At 44.9% G+C, this 23,153-nt stretch overlaps 1 protein-coding gene across 20 annotated transcripts in view, besides 1 other annotated feature; it reads left to right on the top strand.

Annotated features, from left to right (window-relative positions):
* The window catches only part of PRKCE (protein kinase C epsilon), a 536,712-nt gene that overhangs the window by 269,273 nt on the left and 244,286 nt on the right, over positions 1-23,153 (top strand). The window contains exon 1 of one of the 20 annotated variants that reach the window (XM_011532981.4): positions 16,168-16,300. The exons of the other annotated variants lie outside the window; for them this stretch is intronic. The gene's annotated coding sequence lies outside the window, so the exon portion shown is untranslated. Of the gene's footprint in view, positions 1-16,167; positions 16,301-23,153 lie in introns of those variants that run through there. 20 annotated transcript variants of the gene reach the window in all.
* Positions 15,610-15,919: an enhancer, noted in NCBI's record as "active region_15698". NCBI's record gives its function as "activates an Ori minimal core promoter by ATAC-STARR-seq in GM12878 lymphoblastoid cells {active_cell/tissue: GM12878}" and the evidence as "EXISTENCE:reporter gene assay evidence [ECO:0000049][PMID:35858748]".

The raw sequence follows: 23,153 nt of genomic DNA on the forward strand, positions 1-23,153 counted from the left end.
GTTGAGCCATAAAAAGGAATGAAGCACTGACATGGATGACCCTTGATGATATTAAGCTAAGTCACCAATGTCAGATTCAAAAGACCACATATTGTATGATTGCACTCATATGAAATGTCCAGAACAGGGAAATCCATGGAGACAGAAAGTAGACTTGTGGTTGCACAGGGCTGGGGGTGGGGAATTGGAGAACAGGGGGTGGTCGCTAAAGAATAAGGAGTTACTTTTTGAGGTGATGAAAATGTTCTAAAACTGATGGTTTAGTACATATCTCTGAATATACTAAAACAATTGAGTTGTACACTTTACATGGGTGAATTTATGGTGTGGGATTTATCTCAAAGCTGTTTTTAAAGAAAGTCAACCAAATAATTGTTGTCCTACCCCCATACACATGCCTGTTGCTCCCCCATTTTCATAAAGCAAGCAGGCTCTCAGCTCATCCCTACATCGGTGAGCTGAAGCCATCAGAAGAGAGAGTAGCTCCCTCTGAGGACTCAAGGAAGTCTGGAAATGTCCCCTGCCCTAAAATGTTTATGAAATATTTTCACAAAATCGAAATAAACTGCTTAGGCACTGGTCTTCAATGAACTGAAGGAGACTGAAGAATAAGGGCCACATAAAGGTATCAGGGAGGTAGTCTTTTACACAGCCAAGCCCCTCGTAGAATTCCTAAAGTTCTTGGGAAGAGGAGACTTGTCCAGAGAAAAAGGCGTGTGGAGTTGGAACTGCCAGAATTCCTATAGCCTTTGAGGGAGATGGTGGCCAAAGATGATAGGAAATATAAATTGTTGTAAAAAAAACACATACGTAGATATAGTTAGCAGAGCCCTCTTAAAAGATGGGAGAAAATAACAATAGTTTACCTTTCATGAGCACTTGCGTGCCAGCTACTCTTTCTTAAGTTTTGCATGTATTAGCTTATTTGTTCCTCACAATGACCCAACAAGTTATGTACTATTATTGGCCCCATTTTCTAGCTTAGAAAGCTCAGTTACAGAGTCACTGGGTCACATGCTCAAGGTCCTAGCTGGTAAGTGGTAGAGCTGGGTAAACTGACAGGGTGACCAGAGCTCCAAGTCACTCCTTTCTGGCTGTGAGTGGCTGCTTCTGGTTGCTCCAGTGTTCTGATCTACCATGAGTTTTCCATGTGCCATTATACAACAAAGGCAAGGGAGGCTGGGTTGTGGCCCTTCTGCGAGACCTTTGAGGGGAGGAGTGTCATTTTGCTATTTCTTCCTGGTGTGATGCCTGCTGTCATACAGAAAGGACTCAATACATGTTTACTGCTTTAGAATGAATTAAGTTGGATGGATAATAAATGGAGGCAGTCAACTGATTTCTATATTGTTTTTGATATTTGGTTTAGTAGTGGAGATAGGATTATATTATCAATATATATCACATGTTCCCTCATATAGGGAAAATGAACTAAGGCTCAAATGAGATTACAGGTGGGCAGGCACTCTGAGATCACAAAAACAAGCCCTTTCTGCATAGGGGAATTCTTCCTCTATGGGACTATTTTCTTAAGGGCATCACTTGGTGTGAATGTGGTTCCTAATGAGCTGATACTCCTCTAGGAGGTCAAGTTGAAAGATCAAGTTGAAAGATAGTATGAGAGTGTCTCTGTTGACATTGGTTTGAGGTTATCTCTGACACTGGGGGATTGCTGTAGCCTGAGCTTTGTAAAATTCCATTAAATGGTAGTTTTACAAATTGCCATTAGCTTTCCTATCATATGCAGTGCTTAATGGAAAAGAGCTGGACTAGAGGCCCCAAAACTCTTTATACTGGCTGAGCTGCTAACCCACCAAGTGTTGTCTCCAAAGTCAAGCCCCCTTATACCCTCAGGGGGCAAAACATCTAGAGTTGGGGGACACAGGAGTCAGAAGCAACTGCTTCAGAGTTTCCATGGAGGGGGTCAACTGCCCTCCCTGGAATTGTAACCTGTGCCTCATTTTGAATTCTTCCTTTAACTTTTGGATGACCCGCCACCTGCTCTCTTCCTACTATCTTCATTAAACCCTTCCCCCCAGGCTGTCTCCACCCCAAGCCCATGTGGGCCCAATCTCTGCCCAGCAGCAACTGCCTGGGGTGCCGTCAGCTCAAGCTGCACTTACCATGAGGCAAGAGCAGCTCTTTAATAGAGACGTGTGAGCTGATCCTCTGGCTCGTGTTGCTAAGCAGCTGGCTTTTGGTTGCCTGGAGATTATCATGGAGTTGAGACCACACAGTGCAAACGGGTGTATCTTCCAGTGCTGGGATGTGCTTAAACGCCTAAGAACCATCACACCTTTCTCTTGCAGCTCTGATTTTATGTTAAATCCCTGTAACTTGAGGGTACATCCTTCACATATTAGTCATTGGAAATAATAAATGCACAAAAGATCATGTTTCGATATCCCTGGCTTTACAGGGCTTGACGATTATTTCCTCAAGATATAAGAGGAGAGAAAATACCACACACCTTCTGTAGAGCCAAATAAAGGAAAGAAACAGATACTGAACCCTTGTGCTTATAACAGAGGACAGGAAGACAGCACTTCTGAATTTTCCTTGGCGTGACTGTGTATCTGCATGGGGAGAAATAGAGGAGTAGGCCTTGCTGAGTGGAGAGCATTTCAGAAAGTTCTGATAGGAAGGACTATGGCACTAAAAGTCTTCTAGAAAATACAGAAATTGTAAGTCCCTGGGTCCCTGGTATTGTGACACATATACCTCTTCTTGAGTTTTGACAGCTTTCAGATAGGAGATGGGAGTGTGGAGTATGTAACCAGGCATTCTGCTAACAAGCGTTTGTGTGCCCAGAGCAGTGGCCATGTGGAGAAGCCATCAGCCAACTGCCTGAGGCTCACAGGGTAGGGTCTGAATTTCTTCCTACAAGGAAGAAATGCCAAGTGCGGTCAATAGTATGTATGACTTTGGCCTGAAATTGCCATTTGGAGACCAGCTTTGGAGGTAGAGCAGAGTCCAGGGACATCTCTAGTTTCTGTCAACCAGCCAGGTGTGTTTATCACCTCAGCTGTGCCCTCAGCCCTGTCTTAGGTGCTGCGGTGGATATAGAAGTCTAAGACACAAAGACACCCGTGAAGCAATGTGTGCAGGTTTGTGATTAAGTGCTGACTTGTGCAGCACAGACTTTGTGGTATAGGAGGGCAGAGCAGGGAACCATCCCTCAAGTTCAGGGGGTTGGGAAGGCTCCCTGGGGAGGGGGCTGGGATCACCTTGGAGGGTGGCTTTCTAGGAGCAGAGGGAAGGAGGGAGGAAACTCGAGCCAGGGAGAGCATGGAAAGCAAAGGTGAGGTGGTTGGAGTGATCTTGCCTTGTAATAGGAATGTGGAGAAACCACACTGGCCAGAGTGGAATGTTCTTGGGCGCAGCAGGAAGAAAGGTTGTTATTGGAAGTTTTGAGGAGAGAGGTGTACATTAATCGACATTTAACATGAGTTTGTTGTGTCCCTGGGCTCCTTGGAGATATTGAGAGGTGGAGAGGAGAAAAGAGCACTCCCTCCACAGGCCTTGATTTGCAGTCAACAAATGGACCCAACCCCTTTTCCCATCTTCTCCTGTGCCTTAAACCGTCAGGGACTTTCATGGGAACCTTTCCTTATGGGTGGGGAATGAGCAATGGAATTGGCTGTTCGTTCCTGTCCTGGCCATTTAGTTGCTGAGTAATTTGTTTTTTGATCTTTATAAGAATGGGAAAGAGACGTATTTTTGTTTGGGGAGAGGTATAACAAATATGTCCACTGCCAGGGAAATAAATCCTTGCGCCAATTTTGAGGCTTTCTTTACTGGGTAGACCAGTTGTTTTTGAATAGGAAAATGAAGGATGGAGGCAGAGGAGATGTTAAGGAAACAATGATTGTTGGGATGGGTGGAAAGGAAGCATTCTTCACTGTATGTTTGTGTTCTATGGAGGCAGGATAACAGAGAGGCTGGGAGTGCGGGCTCCCATGCCAGACTGAATCCAGACTCTGCCACTTCCTAGCAGTGGACCTTTAGGCTGGTTGTTTAACTCACCAGGAAAAATGACAGGACTCACTTCCCTACCCCATCAGGTTTTGTGATGGTTGAAAGGGGGTTACCACACATAAACATATGAAAAAGCACTTGGCAAATAATCTTCTTTCAGTAAGTGTTAGAGATGCTGCTGTTACATTACTGGCCTACACAGTGCTGAGAAAAAATATGTCTTTTCGTCTATACTTAGTGGCAGCAAAGAGTTGCATGGAAATTAATTCATGGGAGAAGTGAGGCTGAATGCAGGACTTGGATTGAGGGCAGAAACAATGGAAGGCATAGGTCAGTTACCAAAGCCAGGCCTGGGCTTGCAGGAAACAGCAGAGCTCTGAGTTCCTTGGTGCTCATCAGTGAGCAGGGACATGGACAGCTCTGAGTGCAGGGGACCAGCCTGCAGACATCAAGGGCTGCACAGCCAGAGTTCTTAATAGGTTCAGTGAGGGGAAACTGAGGTACCCTGGGCTGGGCAGGGTGTTTTAAAGGTATCCACTGTGGACATGGGTAGGCTTGCTAAGGTCTTAAAGTAGAAACAGAACTATCTGAAGCTTGATACTGGGCAGCCAGGACATGAGAACTGTTCTTGAGGATGTCCAGTTTCTCATTTCCAAGACTCGTACTAAGGGAGAGGGTGTTCCCCTTTCCTTTCCTAAAGGCCCTGTGGACAAGCATATTATCCTGATAACTCATTTCCCCTTTTCTCTCTAAGCATGCTGTATTTTTTATTTATTTATTTATTTTTGAGACAGTTTGCTCTTGTCACCCAGGATGGATTGCGATGGCATGATCTTGGCTCCCTGCAAACTCCACCTCCCAGATTCAAGCGATTCTCCTGCCTCAGCCTCCCGAGTAGCTGGGATTACAGGCACCACCACCACGCCCAGCTAACTTTTGTATCTTTAGTGGAGATGGGGTTTCACCATGTTGGCCAGGGTGGTCTCGAACTCCTGACCTCAGGTGATCCACCCGCCTCGGCCTCCCAAAGTGCTAGGATTACAGGCGTGAACCACCGCGCCCGGCCAAGCATGCTGCATTTTAATCATCAATTAGCATCAGTAAACATTTACTGTGTACCTAGGATACATCCATCCGAGTAGTGAACCCAAGGGAGAATTCTAGAGCATAAGCTCGGGGAGCTCACAAGCTGGCCAAGGATCACCTAGACTGAGCTGACTTCTATTAGGACTCTTCTAAGACCTGTGATGTTGATGACAGAAGGCTGCTTTCAATCATCGTGGGCTGGGCAAACTCTGGCAGGCTTCCAGCAACAGTGGGACTTGAGCTAGGACTCAAAGGTTTTGCATAAGCAGATAAAATATTGGGGTAGTCATTCCTGGCCCAGGCCAGGGATAACCTGAGGGTGCGATTCGGTGGGGGAGGCAAGGCTAACTTCAGTGGGTAGAATCAGGTTGGGAGAATTCAGTGGGGCTGAATATTCGAAGCCTCAGTGCCACCCACTTTGGCTTGGGAATTTCTAGAATATTGTGCCAGTTTTTTTCTACATCCCAGGAAATGGGGGACTTGCATCTCACAGACTTGTGAAGTATAAATAACTCAAATGTTGAGAAATGACAAAGTTGGCAAGCATGAATTTTCGGCCTGCTGCTCAGCGGCTGACTGCTGAGGCCTGCAATGATATGCAAGGGAACTTGGCTGGCTAATTTTGAATTTTCCTTTCTCCAGGGCCATGGCAAGAGGAATATGGGCAGAGGGGGGAATCAGTGCTTTGTTTCAGGGCAACTGCCATACATAACCACTGTCTTCAAATAAAAGCCTTTCACAAGTAGGTTTCCATTACACAGCAAGTCGAGGAGGAGCTGGTGAAATCAGTGAGTTAGGTGAGTCCCCCCCATCCTCAGGATCTTTTGTTATGGTGGTGGTGGTAATGGCGGTGATAGTGGTGATAAAGAGGAGGGGATGTTGCCCTTAACGTAGTACTGGCATATTACATAGCTCTTCCATACAGGTCATCTTATTTGATCCTAAAGCAAAACTGTGAGGTAGGCAGAGTATTCTCTCCAGTTGAAAGTCGGAGGCTGAGAAGGATTTGTAAGCCAGTGCTTTCTTTTTTTGTTTTGGTCATTACTAAATTACTGTGTTTCTTATTAACGAACATTTTGTGACATGGACAGCCGTGGCTAGAAGCATTCAGACAGAGGGGCTCCTGTGGGCCAGAGGCACCAAAAACGATTTCTGGAAATAGAATTTGAGCTTAGAGGTTTGGGCTGAAAAGTAGGACACAGGATAGTAGAAGTATAGAATGTGTGGTGTGTGCATGTGTGAGTGTGCACAAGACACAGGATGGTGAGAAGTATAGAATGTGTATATGAACATGTGTGAGTGTGGATAGGACACAGAATGGTGAGAAGTATAGAACCTGTATATGTGCATGTGTGAGCGTGCATGGGACACAGGATGGTGAGCACTATAGAATGTGTATACATGAACGTGTGAGTGTGCATGGGACACAGGATGGTGAGAATTATAGAATGTGCATATGTGCACATGTGAGCGTGCATGGGACAAGGATGGTGAGAAGTATAGAATGTGTATATGTGCATGCATGAGTGTGCACGGGACACAGGATGGTAAGAAGTATAGAATGTGTATAGTCCATGTGTGAGTGTGCATGGGGGGGGTGTTGTCAGAGAAGAGGGAGGTGAAATTGTAAAGATATAATTTGTGAATTAACAAATGTAGTTGGATTTTTGTGGTATTGGAACCTAGAGAAGGGAAGGAGACGAGTATTCATTGACATGCCTCAATGTGCCAGGCTCTGTGCTAAGCACTTTTATGTATATCATCTAATTTAATCATTGCAATCTTCCTATGAAGCAGGTATTATCTCCATTTTTGCAGCTGATAACTGATGTATAAACAGAAGAGGTACCTCCCTCCAGGTCTCATAGTAAAGCCACAGGCATCCAGGTCTGCCTGAGTCCAAGGGCCATAACTGCCTACCGTGCCCCAGGACCAAACCTCTGGGCCAGTCTGTACTGCTGATCCAGAGATTATGCAGCCTGGCATATTATTTGATTCTGCAGCCCAGGCTAAGGAGCATTAGAGAAAGGGAGGATTTCATCTCCAGAACTGTAAATCAGCAGGAAGTAAAATCTCTCGCATAGAGGCTGATACTCTCTCCTGCAGTGGATTTGAATATTTGTTTTCCCATTAAATAGATAAACACATAATTGCTAGCAGCTGATGTGTGCTGAGAAAAAAAAATACATCTTTATTTTTCCTTAGCTCTAGAAGAACTTTTCCACAGTGATTTCAAATAGTCTTTGAGATACCCAAGGCTTCGTGTAGATGTATGCCTTCCTAAGTGACTGTAGCCTTCACTCACGGAGGCAGGAGAGGGTGGGGGGGCCTGGGTGGTACTGGAGGACCCCAATGTACATAGACTTATCTTTGATGAGCCCAGGGCCGAGGAAGAGTATCTGGCTATTGTTTGTTCTTTTGGGCTCTAAGATAGTACCCCTAGCACTAAACTCCTTGACTTCAAGGATTCCCTTTCACCTCCCTCCAAGCTTTCCTAGGCTGTAGTTCTGTAAGAAACTGCTTCTAGTTGTTCTGTGTTGTGATCTATGGGAAGAGGTGGCTGAGTCCCAGTGACCTCTACAAATTTTGCTTGTGGTGTGTGACCATGGGTATAGTTCAGACTCAAAGCTATAATGCTTTACATTTGAATATAACTTTATACTTCTTTTTGAGATAGAATCTCCCTCTGTTCCCCAGGCTGGAGTGCAGTGGTGCCATCTCAACTCACTGCAACCTCCGCCTCGCGGGTTGAAGCAATTCTCATGCCTCAGCTTCCCGAGTAGCTGGGATTACAGGCACACACCACCATGCCCAGCTAATTTTTTGTATTTTTAGTAGAGATGGGGTTTCGTCATGTTGCCCAGACTGGTCTCCAACTTCTGAGCTCAGGCAATTCTGCCCGCCTCGGCTTCCCAAAGTGCTAGGATTACAGGCGTGAGCCACTGTGCCCGGCCCATAACTTTACACTTCTCTGGACGTACTGTTTCATTTTAGTCCTTCCACAACAATGTGTATAGAAGTAATGGTAGATATTTTTAACAGAAGGATGCCGAAGCGTCTTTGCTAGAATGGCAAGAATCGAGACAGAGATGAGGCTGGGACAAGCCTTCCTCAGTCCTTCTTCATGCTTTTTCCTGCCCCCCACTAATAGTGTGGATGGACTTTTTTTTTCCTAGAAAGGTCCGCAGCTCATGCATATAATGCATGCACATAATCCATGCACAACCAGAATTAGACTATTCTGCAGCTGATGGAGCACCTGGAGCCTTTTGTACCCCGAGGCTGGGAGTCTGGGGGCCCCTCTGTCAGCGCTGAGGTCCACCTGTCTGAGTTGTGCTTATTGTAGGCGGGAGCAGCCTTTTCCTATTAGCTGTGCCACAGTTCAATTTGGAATTGTGCGTTCTTTCTTCTTTCCCCTTTTAGAAGGGATGGATTTAGCCTTGGCATGCCAAATACAAACCCTCACTTCATCTCGAGAGCTCTCTTCCCATCCACCCCTCCTCTGGCAGGCTATTTACAGACTTGTCATGATCTGCTCGTCATCCTACCACGCGGGTCAATCTACCAGTGAAATGAAAGGAAAGAAAGGCCCCAAGCCAATGGATTTGGGCAGATGAGCCTTATATAACACGTGCTAAAAATATGCAGCTAATTGGAATGGAAAAGGGAAAAATGAGTTGTGCTTTAGTCTTAATCTGAGACACCAAAGAGCGATAGCGGAGCCGTTCCTCCCGGCGGAAGATGCCCATATATAAATAATTTTACTCTTGTGCGTACTCTCCATTTTGTGGCTTTTTAACCGTGTTTAATTCCCATTTATCCCCCCACGGGACTGAGTTCAGGCAGCAGAAACCGAGACTAAGGGAGCATGAAAGAAAAGATGCAGGAAACTGTTGCCCCTTCAGGGTAGAAGGAGGCAGTGTCTAGGTGGGTGGCTGGGTGTTAAGATGCTAATTAAGCTCCCACTCTTGATTTCTTCCAAAGCTAAAAACTTAGAGAACTCATATTATCAAAGGTTCTTATTGCCCTGGAAATTGGTTACCATTGGGAATTTTTGTAAGCATTGCAGGGATACTGTCTTCTTCCTGTTCCATCCCCATCTTCCCCCCACCCCCAGGACCTCATATAATTATCTCTAATCCTTCTCTTGCATCTTTCATGTGTTTCTCGTGTCTTCTTCCTGTACCTATGATATGCTCAATCCTCCCTTTTAGTGCCATATTGTGGGTGATTCATGTTTAGTGCCTGCATTTCCTGTAGAACATGAGCACCTCGAGGGCAGGGCCTTGCCCTAACCCACTGTCAAATTTCTCTAATGCCCAGCATAGTGCCTGGGCCAAGATGGCACCAAATATATGCTTATTGAGTAAATGAATCATTCAATGAATCAATGAATGGACAAACCAAAGGTCGTATATCATGGTTTTTGAAAAATATAGTGTGAGAAATGAACCCTGCTCTTATTATTCAAGTCTGATGTTGGTTTCCTTTGGCAGTCAGATGACGCCTCCATCCAGCTCAGTCACCTGATTACTGTTCTGTGCGACACCCCACAAATGAGGACATGAGAATTCTAAAGATAGCAGAAGAAGATGTCACAGACTGAATTAGAAATAGAGGAAGGCTAACTTTGGTGTTTGGAAAGCGCATGGATTAGAGTATCACAGGTTGATAAGTGATTAAGAGATGGCCTGGTACTACCTACCAGTTTAAAAATGAAGAAGGCCTAGGGAGTTCAGAAAACTTGACCAAAATTATATGATTAGCTAGTGGCAGATCCAAGAAAGTGCCTGGTGGCTCATGTTGGATGCTTAATAAATCTTACAAACATAAGGCATGTCTCCAGAATCTGGCCCTCTCCAGTCACCACTGTGCCTCCCACTGGTGGGGGAGGAAGCATTGCACATACACAGGCAACTCCAAGGAGGGCTGTGGGTGTCCACCTTCCAATTGGAATGCCTGTCCTTTGTCTGTGGAGGGCATGGCAGCTGCAGTTACTCATCATGAACTCTGCTGCCTCATGACTGGGAACAGAGCACCATCGCTTGCATGATTTATTGCACCTAGAATCCACTTAATGCCTCTGTTGTTTGTTTGACATTGCAGCCATACATTTGAGTCAGACTAAAGGGATTCCAGGTGTCAGATCAGGAAGGCTTGATGTGCAGTCCCCCTAAGAGTTGGCTTTAGGAAGTTTCGAGGAGATAAGAAGCTTGATGTGCAGTCCCCCTAAGAGTTGGCTTTAGGAAGGTTCGAGGAGATAAAAGCAGTCAGATTCTTCCTTGCTCAGGGTCAGATTGTATGCCGGGTTTAGGAGAAGGCAACTTACCCTAATGGCGTGCTGCTGTTGGGCACATAATTGTGTCCCTGATCCTTCATTTCCTCCTGTAATTTATTTCATCCTTATACCAACTCTGTAAGGTCACTACTGTCCCCATTTTCAGGTTGCAAAGCAGAGGCCAACAACATTACATGACTTGCCCAGGATCCATCATGCTTCAAAGTCTAAGCTCTTTGTTTAAGATTGCCTCTGGATTGATATTTTAGTATTTCTGTTAAGTCCTTGCACTCTGATAACACATTTAATTTATTGTTATGTAATTCTAGTATTATGGTGTATTGCTATTAAGCAAATGGTTTTGTGATTTATGACATGCCTGGCTTTGTGCTCAATGCTGTGATTTATGCTAGAGAAACCATCCCAGAGTTCCTGCTTTCAGGGAGCTTATAGTTAAGGTGAACATTCCTCAGACATTTAAATAACAAAACAAGGCTCCATGTGATTAGATGCCAGAATGAATGACATAGGTGGTAAATGCTCTAACAACACTTTCTGGTGTCATCAGTTCATTGACCTAAATTTTCCCCACTCCCTAAACAACCTCCTGATGGTAAATTACTCTAGTTGGAGCCACATGCATTCTTTTGCTTCACCGTTCCATTGGGGCTTAACTTCCCACCACTGCTGGTGTTCCAAATGTTCTATAATTGAATACTTTGTATGCAATGCTGCGTATGACTGATTCTGCCAACTTTTTCATTAAAGTAACATAGACACACAGAAAAATGCATGGCTAGTGAGTATACAGGTGACTGAATTTTTTTTTTTGAGAGAGAGTCTTGCTCTGCCACCCAGGCTGGAGTGCAGTGGCGCGATTTCGGCTCACTGCAGCCTTCGCCTCCCGGGTTGCAGCGATTCTCGTGCCTCAGCCTCCTCAATAGCTGGGACTACAGGCACCTGCTGCCACACTCAGCTAATTTTTGTATTTTTAATAGAGACAGGGTCTTACCATGAGACTGGCCAGGCCAGTCTCAAACTCCTGACCTCTGACCTCAGGTGACCCACCCGCCTCAGCCTCCCCAAGTGCTGGGATTACAGGCGTGAGCCACCACACCCGGCCACATACTGAATTTTTAAGATGCTGGGTGACCAGCATCCAGATGGAGAAAGAGAACATGGCCAGCCCCCTCCATCCTCTCTTCTGCTCACTACCCCTCACCCAACTTCTTGACTCTCAAGAACGTGGAATAGTTTTACTTGGTTTTGAACTCTACATGGATTTATACAGTGTATACTGTTGTGTCTGGTTTTTCATTCAACATTAGGTTTCTGAGATTCATCCATGTTTTTGCATGTAGTTTATTCATTTTCATTGCTGTAGACTAGTCCATTGTGGGAATATATCCGTTCTATAACTGATGGACATGCACTTGTTTCCAGTTTAGGGGTAGTATGAATAGTGCAGCTATGAACATTTTAGTTCATGTCTTCTGGTGAACAAATGTACACGCTGGCATTGAGTGCATACCTAGGAGTAGCATTGCTGAGTCATGGGTTGCAGCTGCTCAGCCTCAGTAGATACTGTCGGTGTTCCAGAATGACTGTACAAATTTACACACCCACCAACAGTCTGAGAGTTCCAGTTGCTTCACAACCCTGCCAAAACTTGGGATTATTCATCTCTTTTCCATATTTAGCTGTTCTGGTGGGTATGTTTTATTGTATCTTTTTTTGTGGTAAAATATACAAAACATTAAATTTACCATTTTAAGTGTATTGTTCAGTGGGATTTAGTGTGTTTATGTTACTGGACAACCATGACCACTATCCATCTCCAAAACCTTTTTCGTCTTTCCAAGTTGAAATTCCGTACCCACGAAACACTAACTCTCTACTCCCCCCAGCCCCGGGCAATCGTCATGCTACTTTGTCTCCATGAATTTTGACTACTCTGCATACTTCATATAAGTGGAATTGGGCAGTATTTCTTTTTATGACTGGCTTATTTCACCTAGCTCAATGTCTTCAAGGCTCATCCCATGTTGTAGCAAGTGTTAGAATTTCTTCTTAAGTCTGAATAGTATTCCATTATATCTATAATATATACCACATTCTGTTTATCCACCATTCTTTGATTTTATTCTGATTTTAATTTGCATTTCCCTGATGTCTTTGCATTGCTCTTGAGTGCCTTTTTATATGTGCATCATCTATTTGGGTATCCTCTCTTAGAAGTGCCTACACAAGTCTTTTGCCCATTTTTCTATTGGGTTGTCTGCTTTAAAAAAGATGATTTTTAGAAGGTCTTCATAGATATTGGATATGAGTCTCTGTTGAGTATATGAATTGCAAGTACCTTCTTGTCTGTGGCTTACCTTGTAGTTCCTTAAGAGGATCTTTTGATGAACAGAAGTCCCTGAGGAATGTATCAATTTATCAGTTATTTTCTTTATGGTTTGACCTTTTCGTATTCCATTCAAGAACAGGCTGCCTACCTGAATGTCTTAAGGATGTTCACCTATGACTTCTTCCAAAAGTTTTGTTTTACCTTTCACCTCATATGCCTGCTTTTTTTTTTTTTTTTTTTTTTTTTTTGAGACTGAGTCTCGCTCTGCCGCCCAGGCTGGAGTGCAGTGGCGCGATCTCGGCTCACTGCAAGCTCCACCTCCCGGGTTCACGCCATTCTCCTGCCTCAGCCTCCCGAGTAGCTGGGACTACAGGTGCCCACCACCAGGCACAGTTAATTTTTTTTTGTGTTTTTAGTGGAGACGGGGTTTCACCATATTAGCCAGGATGGTCTCGATCTCCTGACCTCGTGATCCGCCCGCCTCGGCCTCCCAAGGTGCTGGGATTACAGGCGTGAGCCACCGCACCCAGCATGCCTGCCTTTTTAACTGGGAGTGGTTATTTTGACCCTAGGGGAACTAGGCTGCTTATAGCACAATCATAAGATTTGGGCAGCACTGTAGTAAAATCATGTTAACTTGGTAACAGGGTCGGGGGACTAGTGGAAGCAAACATAAGTGCAGGTACTCCTGGCTTCAGGCATCATGTTTTTCTAAAGAGTTGCATGTGAATTTTATCCAGTGAATTTGTCCATATTATAAACACTGAGTCTGTGACTTTTCAGAGATTTCCACCAAAGTTCCAGAGGTAGTCTCCTAACTGACCTCTGCTGTCACCGACTTGCCAAATTAACTCTGTCTCCCATTCTCTCTGACACACGCTCAGGGCACACTTGAAAGCTCACAGCCATAGTGGAGCAGCTTATGCCGTACTCCCACTGTACACTTCTGTCCCCACCAGTAGTTGTGTGTTTATCAAAAGCCACTTGTATTTGTTCTTATTGTAATAAATAATTGTAATGAAATCTTATTTAAACTGAGATGAGTGTGAAAAAAAGTTTCTATTAAGACTAAGTTGAATGTGACGGAAAAAGCCAAAGATAAATTTCCTATAAAATTACTGTTGGCCAGGCATGGTCACTCATGCCTGTAATCCCAGCACTTTGGGAGGCTGAGGCGAGCAGGTCACTTGAGGTCAGGAGTTTGAGACCAGCCTGGTCAACATAGTAAAACCCCATCTCTACTAAAAATACAAAAATTAGCCAGACGTGGTGGCACATGCCTGTAATTCCAGCTACTTGGGAGGCTGAGGCGGGAAAATCACTTGAAGCCACAAGGCGGAGGCTGCAGTGAGCCGAGATCACACCACTGCAATCCAGCCTGGGTGATAAAGCGAGACTCTGCCTCAAAAAAAAAAAAAATTACTGCTAAATTGTGTGAGAAAAATAATAAAGCTCTAAAAAGATTCCAAATTCACATTACTTCACAAGTATCTTTAATTTTTGCTCCACTAGAAAGAAACCACAATTGGGCTGGGCATGGTGGCTCACACTTATAATCTGAATACTTTGGGAGGTTGAGGCAGTAGGATTGCTTGAGCCCAGGAGTCAAGACCAGCGTGGGCAACATGGAGAGACCATGTCTCTACAAAAAAAAAAAAAAAATTTAAATTAGCCAGGCATGGTGGCATGTGCCTGTAGTCCCAGCTACTTGTGAGGCTGAGGCAGGAGCATTGCTTGATCGTGGGAGGTTGAGGCTGCAGTGAGCCATGATCATACTACTGCACTCCAGCCTGGGCAGCAAAGCGAGACACTCACTCTCTCTCTCACACACACACACACACACACACACATAGAAAATGGAAATGGAAATCATAGATAATGTTTGTCTGTAAGAGATGATGAGGGGGACCATACCTTAAAGAAATTGGCCTTCTGTTATTGGCAAGTGAGTACATATATTTGTTTTTCAATATTTTCAGTTTGAATATTGTTAGTTAAAATACTTAAAGTACATACATCTTTTCTTTGCATGATTCTCTGCTTTACTGACTTTTTATTAAACAAACATTCTGCCATTCACCAAAGATAAGTGGGGCAGAAGAAAATAAACCCCCTCCTCTCAGAGCCGGCCTCAAGCTAAGAACTTTTGAAGTACTGTTTTAGCTAAAAAATATTAATACTTTAAAATTTGCATACTATACCATGTTTATAAACAAAAGTGTTTTTCTTTTCCAAGGTCTTCATATAAAATTGCAGCTTAGGGTTGGGCACGGTGGCTCACGCCTATAATCCCAGCACTTTGGGAGGCCAAGGCAGGTGGATCACTTGAGGCCAGGAGTTCCAGACTAGCCTGTCCATCATGGTGAAACCCCATCTCTACTAAAAATACAAAAATCAGCTGGGCATTGTGACGTGCCGGTAATCCCAGCTATTCAGGATGCTGAGGCAGAAGAATTGCTTGAACCCAGGAGGCAGAGGTTGCAGTGAGCCAAGATCATGCCACCGCACTCCAGCCCACACGACAAAGTGAGACTGTCTCAAAAAAAAAAAAAAAAATCGCAGCTTAGCTGAATTCTTGATAGAAGGTGGTGACTTAGATGCCTTCTCTTCTGGTTTGTCTGCTGTGTCTGTGTGCACCTGGACCCATTGTGCTCTGGAAAGCAGGCACACTGGAGTCCTGGAGTGCAGGCTGGCTGGCGCCTTGCAGTGCCTGGTGATGGCTGGGGTTTGGTCCCTGGTCTGTCCCCTGGGGTTCCCATGTCTATTGGTGAGGCAGCAGTGTGTGCTCGTAGGAGACCCTCTGTCAAGAGGCTCTGTTAGGAGCCAGCCTGCTGCCCTGCCTTTGAGGCTGATCCTTCACCCTAGGAGGGCAGGCACTGAGGGCCAGCACTCTGGTCACGCCAAGGATGCTATGGCGACCCACTGAAGAATGAGCTATTACCCTGCCCACCCCTGCCTGCTGTGCCCCCAAGCACCCCTTGGGGGTTACTCACTTGCCTTCCTGGTATCAGGTTAAGAGGTTATTAGACCTTCCATTTATTCACTCAATTCTTTTCCCTGCTCTCCTGAGTAATAGCTCAGGAACCCGTGCCCCAGCCATGCTGGGAACATGCTTAGAAAGTAAGGGGAAACCTTTGGGCCAGCACCCACGTGGTTTTGAATCACTCAAGGACAATCTGCCTAAGTCACTGGCTTGGTGGCCGTGGGCCAAGCAAGGAGTCATCCAGTAGCGCCTCTGCCCTCACTGTCCTCCTCCTCCAGGTTTCTTTACCGAGAGGAAGCCAGCGGGAGGCCCGACATCCAAAACATTGACTAGTGTGCCCCCGTGTGGCTCTGGTGGAAGGGTTTGGAAAATGCAGCCAGGTTTTCCTAACCTTACCCACCAAGGCCGGAGGATGCCCTAAGGACAGCCTGCAGCCCCTGCAGCCCTCTTTTTGCGTAATCTTTGATTTTTCTTGTTATTATTTCTTAACAGTTAAGCGCCTTAAGGCCTCATTTAACTTGAGTTAAAGAAGTGTGATTTTGGAGGACCCAAAGATTTTCCACTGGTGTAGGGAATGTCTCCTCCCGGCTCTGAGAGACTTCCTCCAATCCACAACCTACCGCAGGTATGTGTTCTTATTAAAAGGGGCAGGGACAAAAGCTCTGCCTGTCCCTCTTGTACTTTCAGGCTATAATCAATCAGCAGGCACACCTGTTCAGACTGTGACATTGAATTTCCAGGATCAGAACCAGAGCCTGGTACAGACACAAGCCTTCCAGTACTTGTATTTTAAGTTCCATAGATGCTTGGACCTTTTGTGGGCTCCTGGGACAGTGATCATGAAAGAAGAGTGCTCCCAGGGGATGAGCAAGATGATCCCCTTTGGCTGGGAAGAAAAGATTCCATGTCCATCTGGTTTTTATTACTCCTCTAAAAATGTTCCCTTTATAGTTTTATAATTGTACTTAAATAAAAATAATTGCACTTAAATAAAAAAAAATTGGGGAGATTATAGCAGAAGCTGTTGGTGTCCCGGCCATAGCTGTGTCCCTTGGTCTGCCACAGAGGTCACTCCCAGAATACACTTAGGACTCCCTGTGTCTCCTTCTGAGGGTGACCTGAGCCACGATGTTATGGGATGGAGGCTAACACCTGGTAGGCCCCACATTTTTGACAATTTGGTTTTAAGAAAACTCATAGGTATGGCCACACGTGGTGGCTCACGCCTGTAATCCCAGCACTTTGGGAGGCTCAGGCGCGCGGATCACGAGGTCAGGAGATGAAGACCATCCTGGCTAATACGGTGAAACCCCATCTCCACTAAAAATACAAAAAAAAATTAGCCAGGCCTGGTGGCGGGCACCTGTAGTCCCAGCTACTCGGGAGGCTGAGGCAGGAAAATGGTGTGAACCCAGGAGGTGGAGCTTGTAGTGAGCCGAGATCATACCACTGCACTCCAGCCTGGGTGACAAAGTGAGACTCCGTCTCAAAGAAAAAAAAAAAGAAAGAAAACTTGTAGGTATATATCATCGTTCCAACAAAAGCTGCCATTATCGAACGCCTACTGTGTACCTGGTACTTGATAATGATTACATTCTGTCACTCCAACTCTGGAAGGTAGATATTATCCTCCCCCACCCCACTTTTCTTTAAAGAGGTGAGGAAACTGAGGCTCAGCAATGACTGTGGGGATCTGGGAGCAGACTGCAGGTCTTGCTGGACCCAAGGCCCATTCGCCCTCCTTGCTGCCATGCTGGCTTCTCTACAGTGAGAGTAGCCTTTACGTTACGCACCACTAATGTCACTCAGAGGGTCCCGACCCTTCCCCTTCGGCCTCTTCTTGTTCTCCTCCCTCTGTTCCTCTTGGATTCTCAGGAGCCAGTGTTAGCCCAGAAATGAAGAATTAAAGACTGTTCACACCCACATAGAACCATCTGCTCTCTTAGCCTCAGGGCAGGGCTGATGGGGGTGGTATTTAGTCTCTTGGAGGTGGTATTTAGCCCCTTGGAGAGGTGGTGCAAATATAGAAGCTGGTGTAGATGGCTTGGCTGGAGGGGGGCTATCTGGCAATTCAATGCATCTTGTGAGTTTTGGAGAACTAGGGTGACTATATCATTTATCCTCCAAGAAAGGACACAGTTGAGAATGATAAGTGACACTATACATAATTACTCTAAGAAAACAGGCAAAATCTAGGACTATCCTTAGTGACTTGGAACCTACATCCTCCCTACCCACTCTATAGATATCCCTGCATTTTCCACCTTGTGTCTGTGATTGACCTGTTGTGTCCCTTTCAACATTTCAGCGCCCACCCCTCAAACCCCCATCAAGCCTTGCAGCAGCTATTTATTCAGTTAGCAAACTTTTCCTGGCCTCCAATTTGCATTCTTTCCTAACTTATGGGTCCCTTCTCTTTTGCCTAGATGCTGCCTTTCCCTGGCTGTTTGACCATAAACTCATGGTATCATGCCTTATTCAGCAACTCTTAGAACAAAGTAAACAAATGTGCAAGTTTGCTTAAATTGAGAAAGCTTATATTTACAAAGTCGTGCCAGTTTTCTTTCTCACTCATCTACAGTTCTCTCAAACATTGGCCCTATTCCTGATGTATTAGATTGCAAACCCCTGAGGGCAGAGGCTGGGTGTTCTCACCCAGTTACACATGGTGGGCACCTCATTCGTAACTCTTTCTAGCACATTCAGCGCTCTGCCCTCTGGAGTCTTGCGGCTGAGTCAACACTCAGGAATCCAGCGCAGTAGGCTAATTCCACGCTGGCTCTGACCTCATCCAACCCTGCTGTCCCAGTGAAATCCAGCCCACAGCACCCTGCCAGGGTGGAGGAGGTGCCGGGCTATAAATCTCCCCGTTGTTTCTTCTCCCGGAAAATATAAAACCAAAACCAAACATTATACATTATGCCCTCACTCACAGAGTCACTTGGAGGCTTCAATAAGACAAGGGATATGGGTGTGTTTCGGGAAAGAAATTTGATACAAGTGCCAAGTGCTGTTATTGAAGACCTTAGGCATTTATTTTGGTAGCACCCCAATAGTGACAAGAGATGGGCTTGTCTAAAGCCAGCACTGCCACCTTCCCCTGTGTTCACCACTTCATTCCCTGATGTCTTACTGTCAGGCAGTTGGGCCTTGGAGCTGCCCTTCCTTCCGCATGTTGCTCTTTCATCATTTCATACCGTATTCTCCTGTAGAGTAGCATCTGGGCACCTTCCTTTGTCGAGGTTACTAAGACTTTCAAAGAGACATTTCAACCCCAAGTCACTAAGAGAAAATGTAATGCAGCAAGTGATTCCAATGGCAGTTAGTTAATGCACTTTTTTTTTTTTGAGAAGGCGTCTCACTCTATCGCTAGGCTGGAGTGCAGTGGCGCAATCTCAGCTCACTGCAACCTCCGCCTCCTGGGTTCAAGTGATTCTCCTGCCTCAGCCTCCTAAGTAGCTGGGACTACAGGTGCGTGCCACCAGGCCCAGCTAATTTTCGTATTTTTAGTAGAGACGAGGTTTTATCATGTTGACCAGGATGGTCTTGATCTCTTGACCTCATGATCTGCCTGCCTTGGCCTCCCAAAGTGCTGGGATTACAGGCGTGAGCCACCATGCCTGGCCCGCTAATGCACTTTTAAGGCATGCTTGCTGTAAATTGTTTTGGGAGTCTGCCGTCATTTCTGAGATGTGGGTGTAACCCAGCCCCTCACCATACTGGGCTGGCAGTGAATTGCCAGCAAGTGCATTCAGAAATATGAACATTCTCCCCTGCTTCCAGTACAGCCTCAGAGAGTCTCCTTGCTTAGTTGACCTGATGTTTTAGAACTTGTCTCTGCGTCTTCCTGCCTTCTTCTTTTTTGCGCTCACTTACTGGTTCCTGAAATTGGCATCAGCAATGCAAATTGGAAGCTTCCCTCAGACCTCTTTTCCAGTTCATCACCTGACATTTGCTTCAGGTAATCTGGCACCAGTCCTCAGCAAGATGTGTGTCTAGGAGTCTGGTGAGAGGCCAGATTAGGGGTAGCTGTGGCTTCAAGGAGTGGCCTGCAAAGTGGAATTTGGACACAGTGCCCAGAGTAGGCAAGATGAGCTACTGGGATTTGGGAAACAGACCTTCCATCTGTATTCATTTTCTTACCTATGAAGCAAGAACATGATTTAGCTTTAATATTTGATGTATGGATGGCCAGAGTATGTGTTTATAATTTATATGAAAACATTTCAAAATGTTGTTGCTGGTATATGCAGTCAAAAATATTTGGAGACGTCTGGCTTAGTAGGCCCAAGTCAGTCAAAGAAATGGAAGAAGCAGAGAACACGTTAATTGGAGCAAGAAGAAGATGATGACTTGTATCCAGGGCCAGGTACATTCACTGGTCCACACATACACTCTGTTCACACAGCGCACACTCTTGCGCTCACAAGTGTTCACTCTCACGTACCGCATGCATGTCACACATGCTTTCACTCCCACACATGCTTTCAAACACATACATATACCTTTTGCTTAATAACTTACAAGAATTAAAAAGTTGATAGGCACCTGGCCGGGCGTGGTGGCTCATGCCTGTAATCCTAGCACTTTGGGAAGCCAAAGCAGGCAGATCACTTGAGGTCAGGAGTTCAAAACCAGCCTGGCCAACATGGTGAAACCCCATCTCTATTAAAAATACAAAAAAAAAAAATTAGCCAGGCATGGTGACAGGTGCCTGTAATCCCAGCTACTTGGGAGGCTGAGGCAGGAGACTCGCTTGAGCCTGGGAGGTGGAGATTGCAGTGAGCCAAGATCATGCCACTGCACTCCAGCCTGGGTGACAGAGTGAGACTTCATCCTAAAAAAAAAAAAAAAAAAAAAAGATGATAGGCACCTATTCCCTACTGAACAAATGACTTATATACTAACCGAAAGAGGGCCACATGCTCCTGGGAACTGAAAGCAATACAGTAGCCTAGTTAATCCCTTGAAGAAGCACTCATGTGGCCACTTGCTCATGGATTTAACCCATTCTAGTGGCTGAGATCAGACCCAGACCTCAAGAAGCCAGCATGTGGTGCATGTGCAGTGACCAGAGCTTAGTGATCTGGGCATTTTCTGCATGTTCAACAAATATTGGATGGACATCATTGGTATATTCATCTATAGATTAGGTGATCTGAGGGCAGGTGAGAGGAAAAGACGTGGCCTCCAGCCTTAAGAAACTTATTACTCTTTGGAATGGGAGATCATACAGACCTACATCAAACCAGGCACGGACGGATGTTTATAAAGCGTTAGACTCTGCAGCTCAGAGAAAGCAGGGCCGTGAAGGGGTGGGCTTTGAGGAAGACACAGAACTTCAACGGAACCTTGAAGAATGGGCAGTTGAATTAACAAAGGGGAGGGGAGATTCAGTCAGCACAATTCCATCTGTTGAGGGACTGAGGACCTGCTGAGCTAAAGATGCTTTTTGTAAATTGAGTGGTGCCTGGGTCACTGAGCAATTCAAGCATGCACTGGAAGAGCCTGGGAGGGACTTGAAGTTAGGGCCTAGATAACCTCTACGGTCCACTGGAGTCCCAGAGTGGTCTGATTACATGACAGCCTTCCCTGGCTAGTTCTGTCTAGGAGGTCATAGATTCATTAATTATGGGGGAGGGGGAGGTTCTTTATTGGGATAAAATACACTAGCTGGAGGAGAGTTTTACCTCTTCTACCCTGATTAAAACAGGAGAATCAAGCAAGAGGCTGCTGCAGGTAGCTGAAGTTTTTTTCTGAGTTGGCTCCATCTTTCAAAGAGCTGTCAAAGCACATGCTTAGAAACCAAACCTAATTGCTGTTATGAATTTGTTAGTTTGAAGTACGGCACCTCTGGCATGGTCCATGGAATGTGAGCACTCTTGCTTAGAGATGTATGGGAGCCAGGCTTTGAAACATTTACGTCTCATGTTGATCTGAGGCAGTTGCTATAAGACATTGATTCTAATTCTACCTGTTACATGTTGACAGGCTGAATCGTTGTGCTAGTTAAGGTCCAAAAACACCAATTAGAGAAGCGTTTCTGGCCAAAGACAATGCTTATCTGGGTGCACCCTGAAATGCCTCAAAGTTTACATGTGGGTTAGGAGAATGACATCATGTGGCTGATGACTTCCAAATTGTGCAAGTGAGAAAAAAATCATATAGGCAGTATGTTCCTCCCTGAAATCCATTGAGAGGATATAAAAGAGCAAGTCTCTTGTAAATGTTATTATAATTAATGTTGTCATATTATGTGTGACATGTCATATATGAGGAACGTGCAGCCGTTGTGATGTGAAAGGTCCCTGTGGCTCTCATGAGGGGAACAGCAGGGGATGGCGTAGGGTGTGCACTCAGTAAATTACTGTTGGTCTAATGACGAGGTCCCCGCAGGAAGGATTAGAACACGAATGGAATACAAATTCCTCTCTTTCCTGTGCTTTGTTGTGTAAGCACGCTTTGTTTTATGATTCTGCGATTAACTCTTGGAAAAAGTCACTTAATCTTCTTGAGATTCAGTTTTTTTCAACAATAAAATGAATTATAATGCATTATGTTTATTATAGTACACATGTAACTAAATGAGTATATATATCAAAATTTTCTGTAAACTTCATTTTTAATTAAACATCAGTGGAAATATGCTTACAGTAAAACATTTAACAGTAACAGTGCTTTAAAAGTATAAAAGAAAAGTTGTCCCCCCAACCTCTTATTCTCCACTCCCCAGAAGTTAGCTGCTGCTGTTCTTAATATACTTTAGAAGTGTTGCACAAATACATGTGATCATAATTCCCATTTATTTCACATAATATTTCTACTTTTATGGCATTTTGTAAATTGATGAATCATTTTAGCCAAAGAGGATGATTGTATCTCGGCGCTAGGATTCAGCTGTGAAGATTCAGGAGGCTTTAAGAGCTCATTTTAGGTAATTTTCTGCTTTTGAATATTGTAGAAAAGAAATTCCTTTGTTAAAGGACACAATTAAATATACTCCAAAGCAGACTAACATTCATTTATTCCTTTATTTAAAAAATGATTTCGCAGTCATCATGTGCAAAGCAGTTACCCAGTCTATGAAAGTTTAGAACCATAGCGTCTAAGCCAGCACATAGGAGTTGCACGTGGGTCCTATAGCTCAGAGTACATCTGCCAAAAGAGGGATAGGGCAGAGGGCCACGGAACTCACTGTGAGCCCCTCTAGCCGGGGCTTAGGAAGGTCTGCCAGGGGGCGCTAACATTTGGACTTGATCTTGCAGGTTAGTTGTAATTTAGTTTTACAAGATTAACTATTTTTCTCCCACAAAGACTCAAAATGGTTGAGGTTACACATGCCAGAAACATGCCAGAATTCCTTCTTTCCAGAGCCTTTTTTTTTCTGTCTTAAATGTTTTCCAGTTCCACTGTCTCAGAGGCCTTTGAGGAGGACACAGAATATAAAGTTCTCACCAGACGCCAGGATATAACAAATG

The sequence above is a fragment of the Homo sapiens genome, chromosome 2 (genome assembly GCF_000001405.40).
Source record: "Homo sapiens chromosome 2, GRCh38.p14 Primary Assembly".
In the NCBI taxonomy this organism is placed as follows: Eukaryota; Metazoa; Chordata; class Mammalia; order Primates; family Hominidae; genus Homo; species Homo sapiens.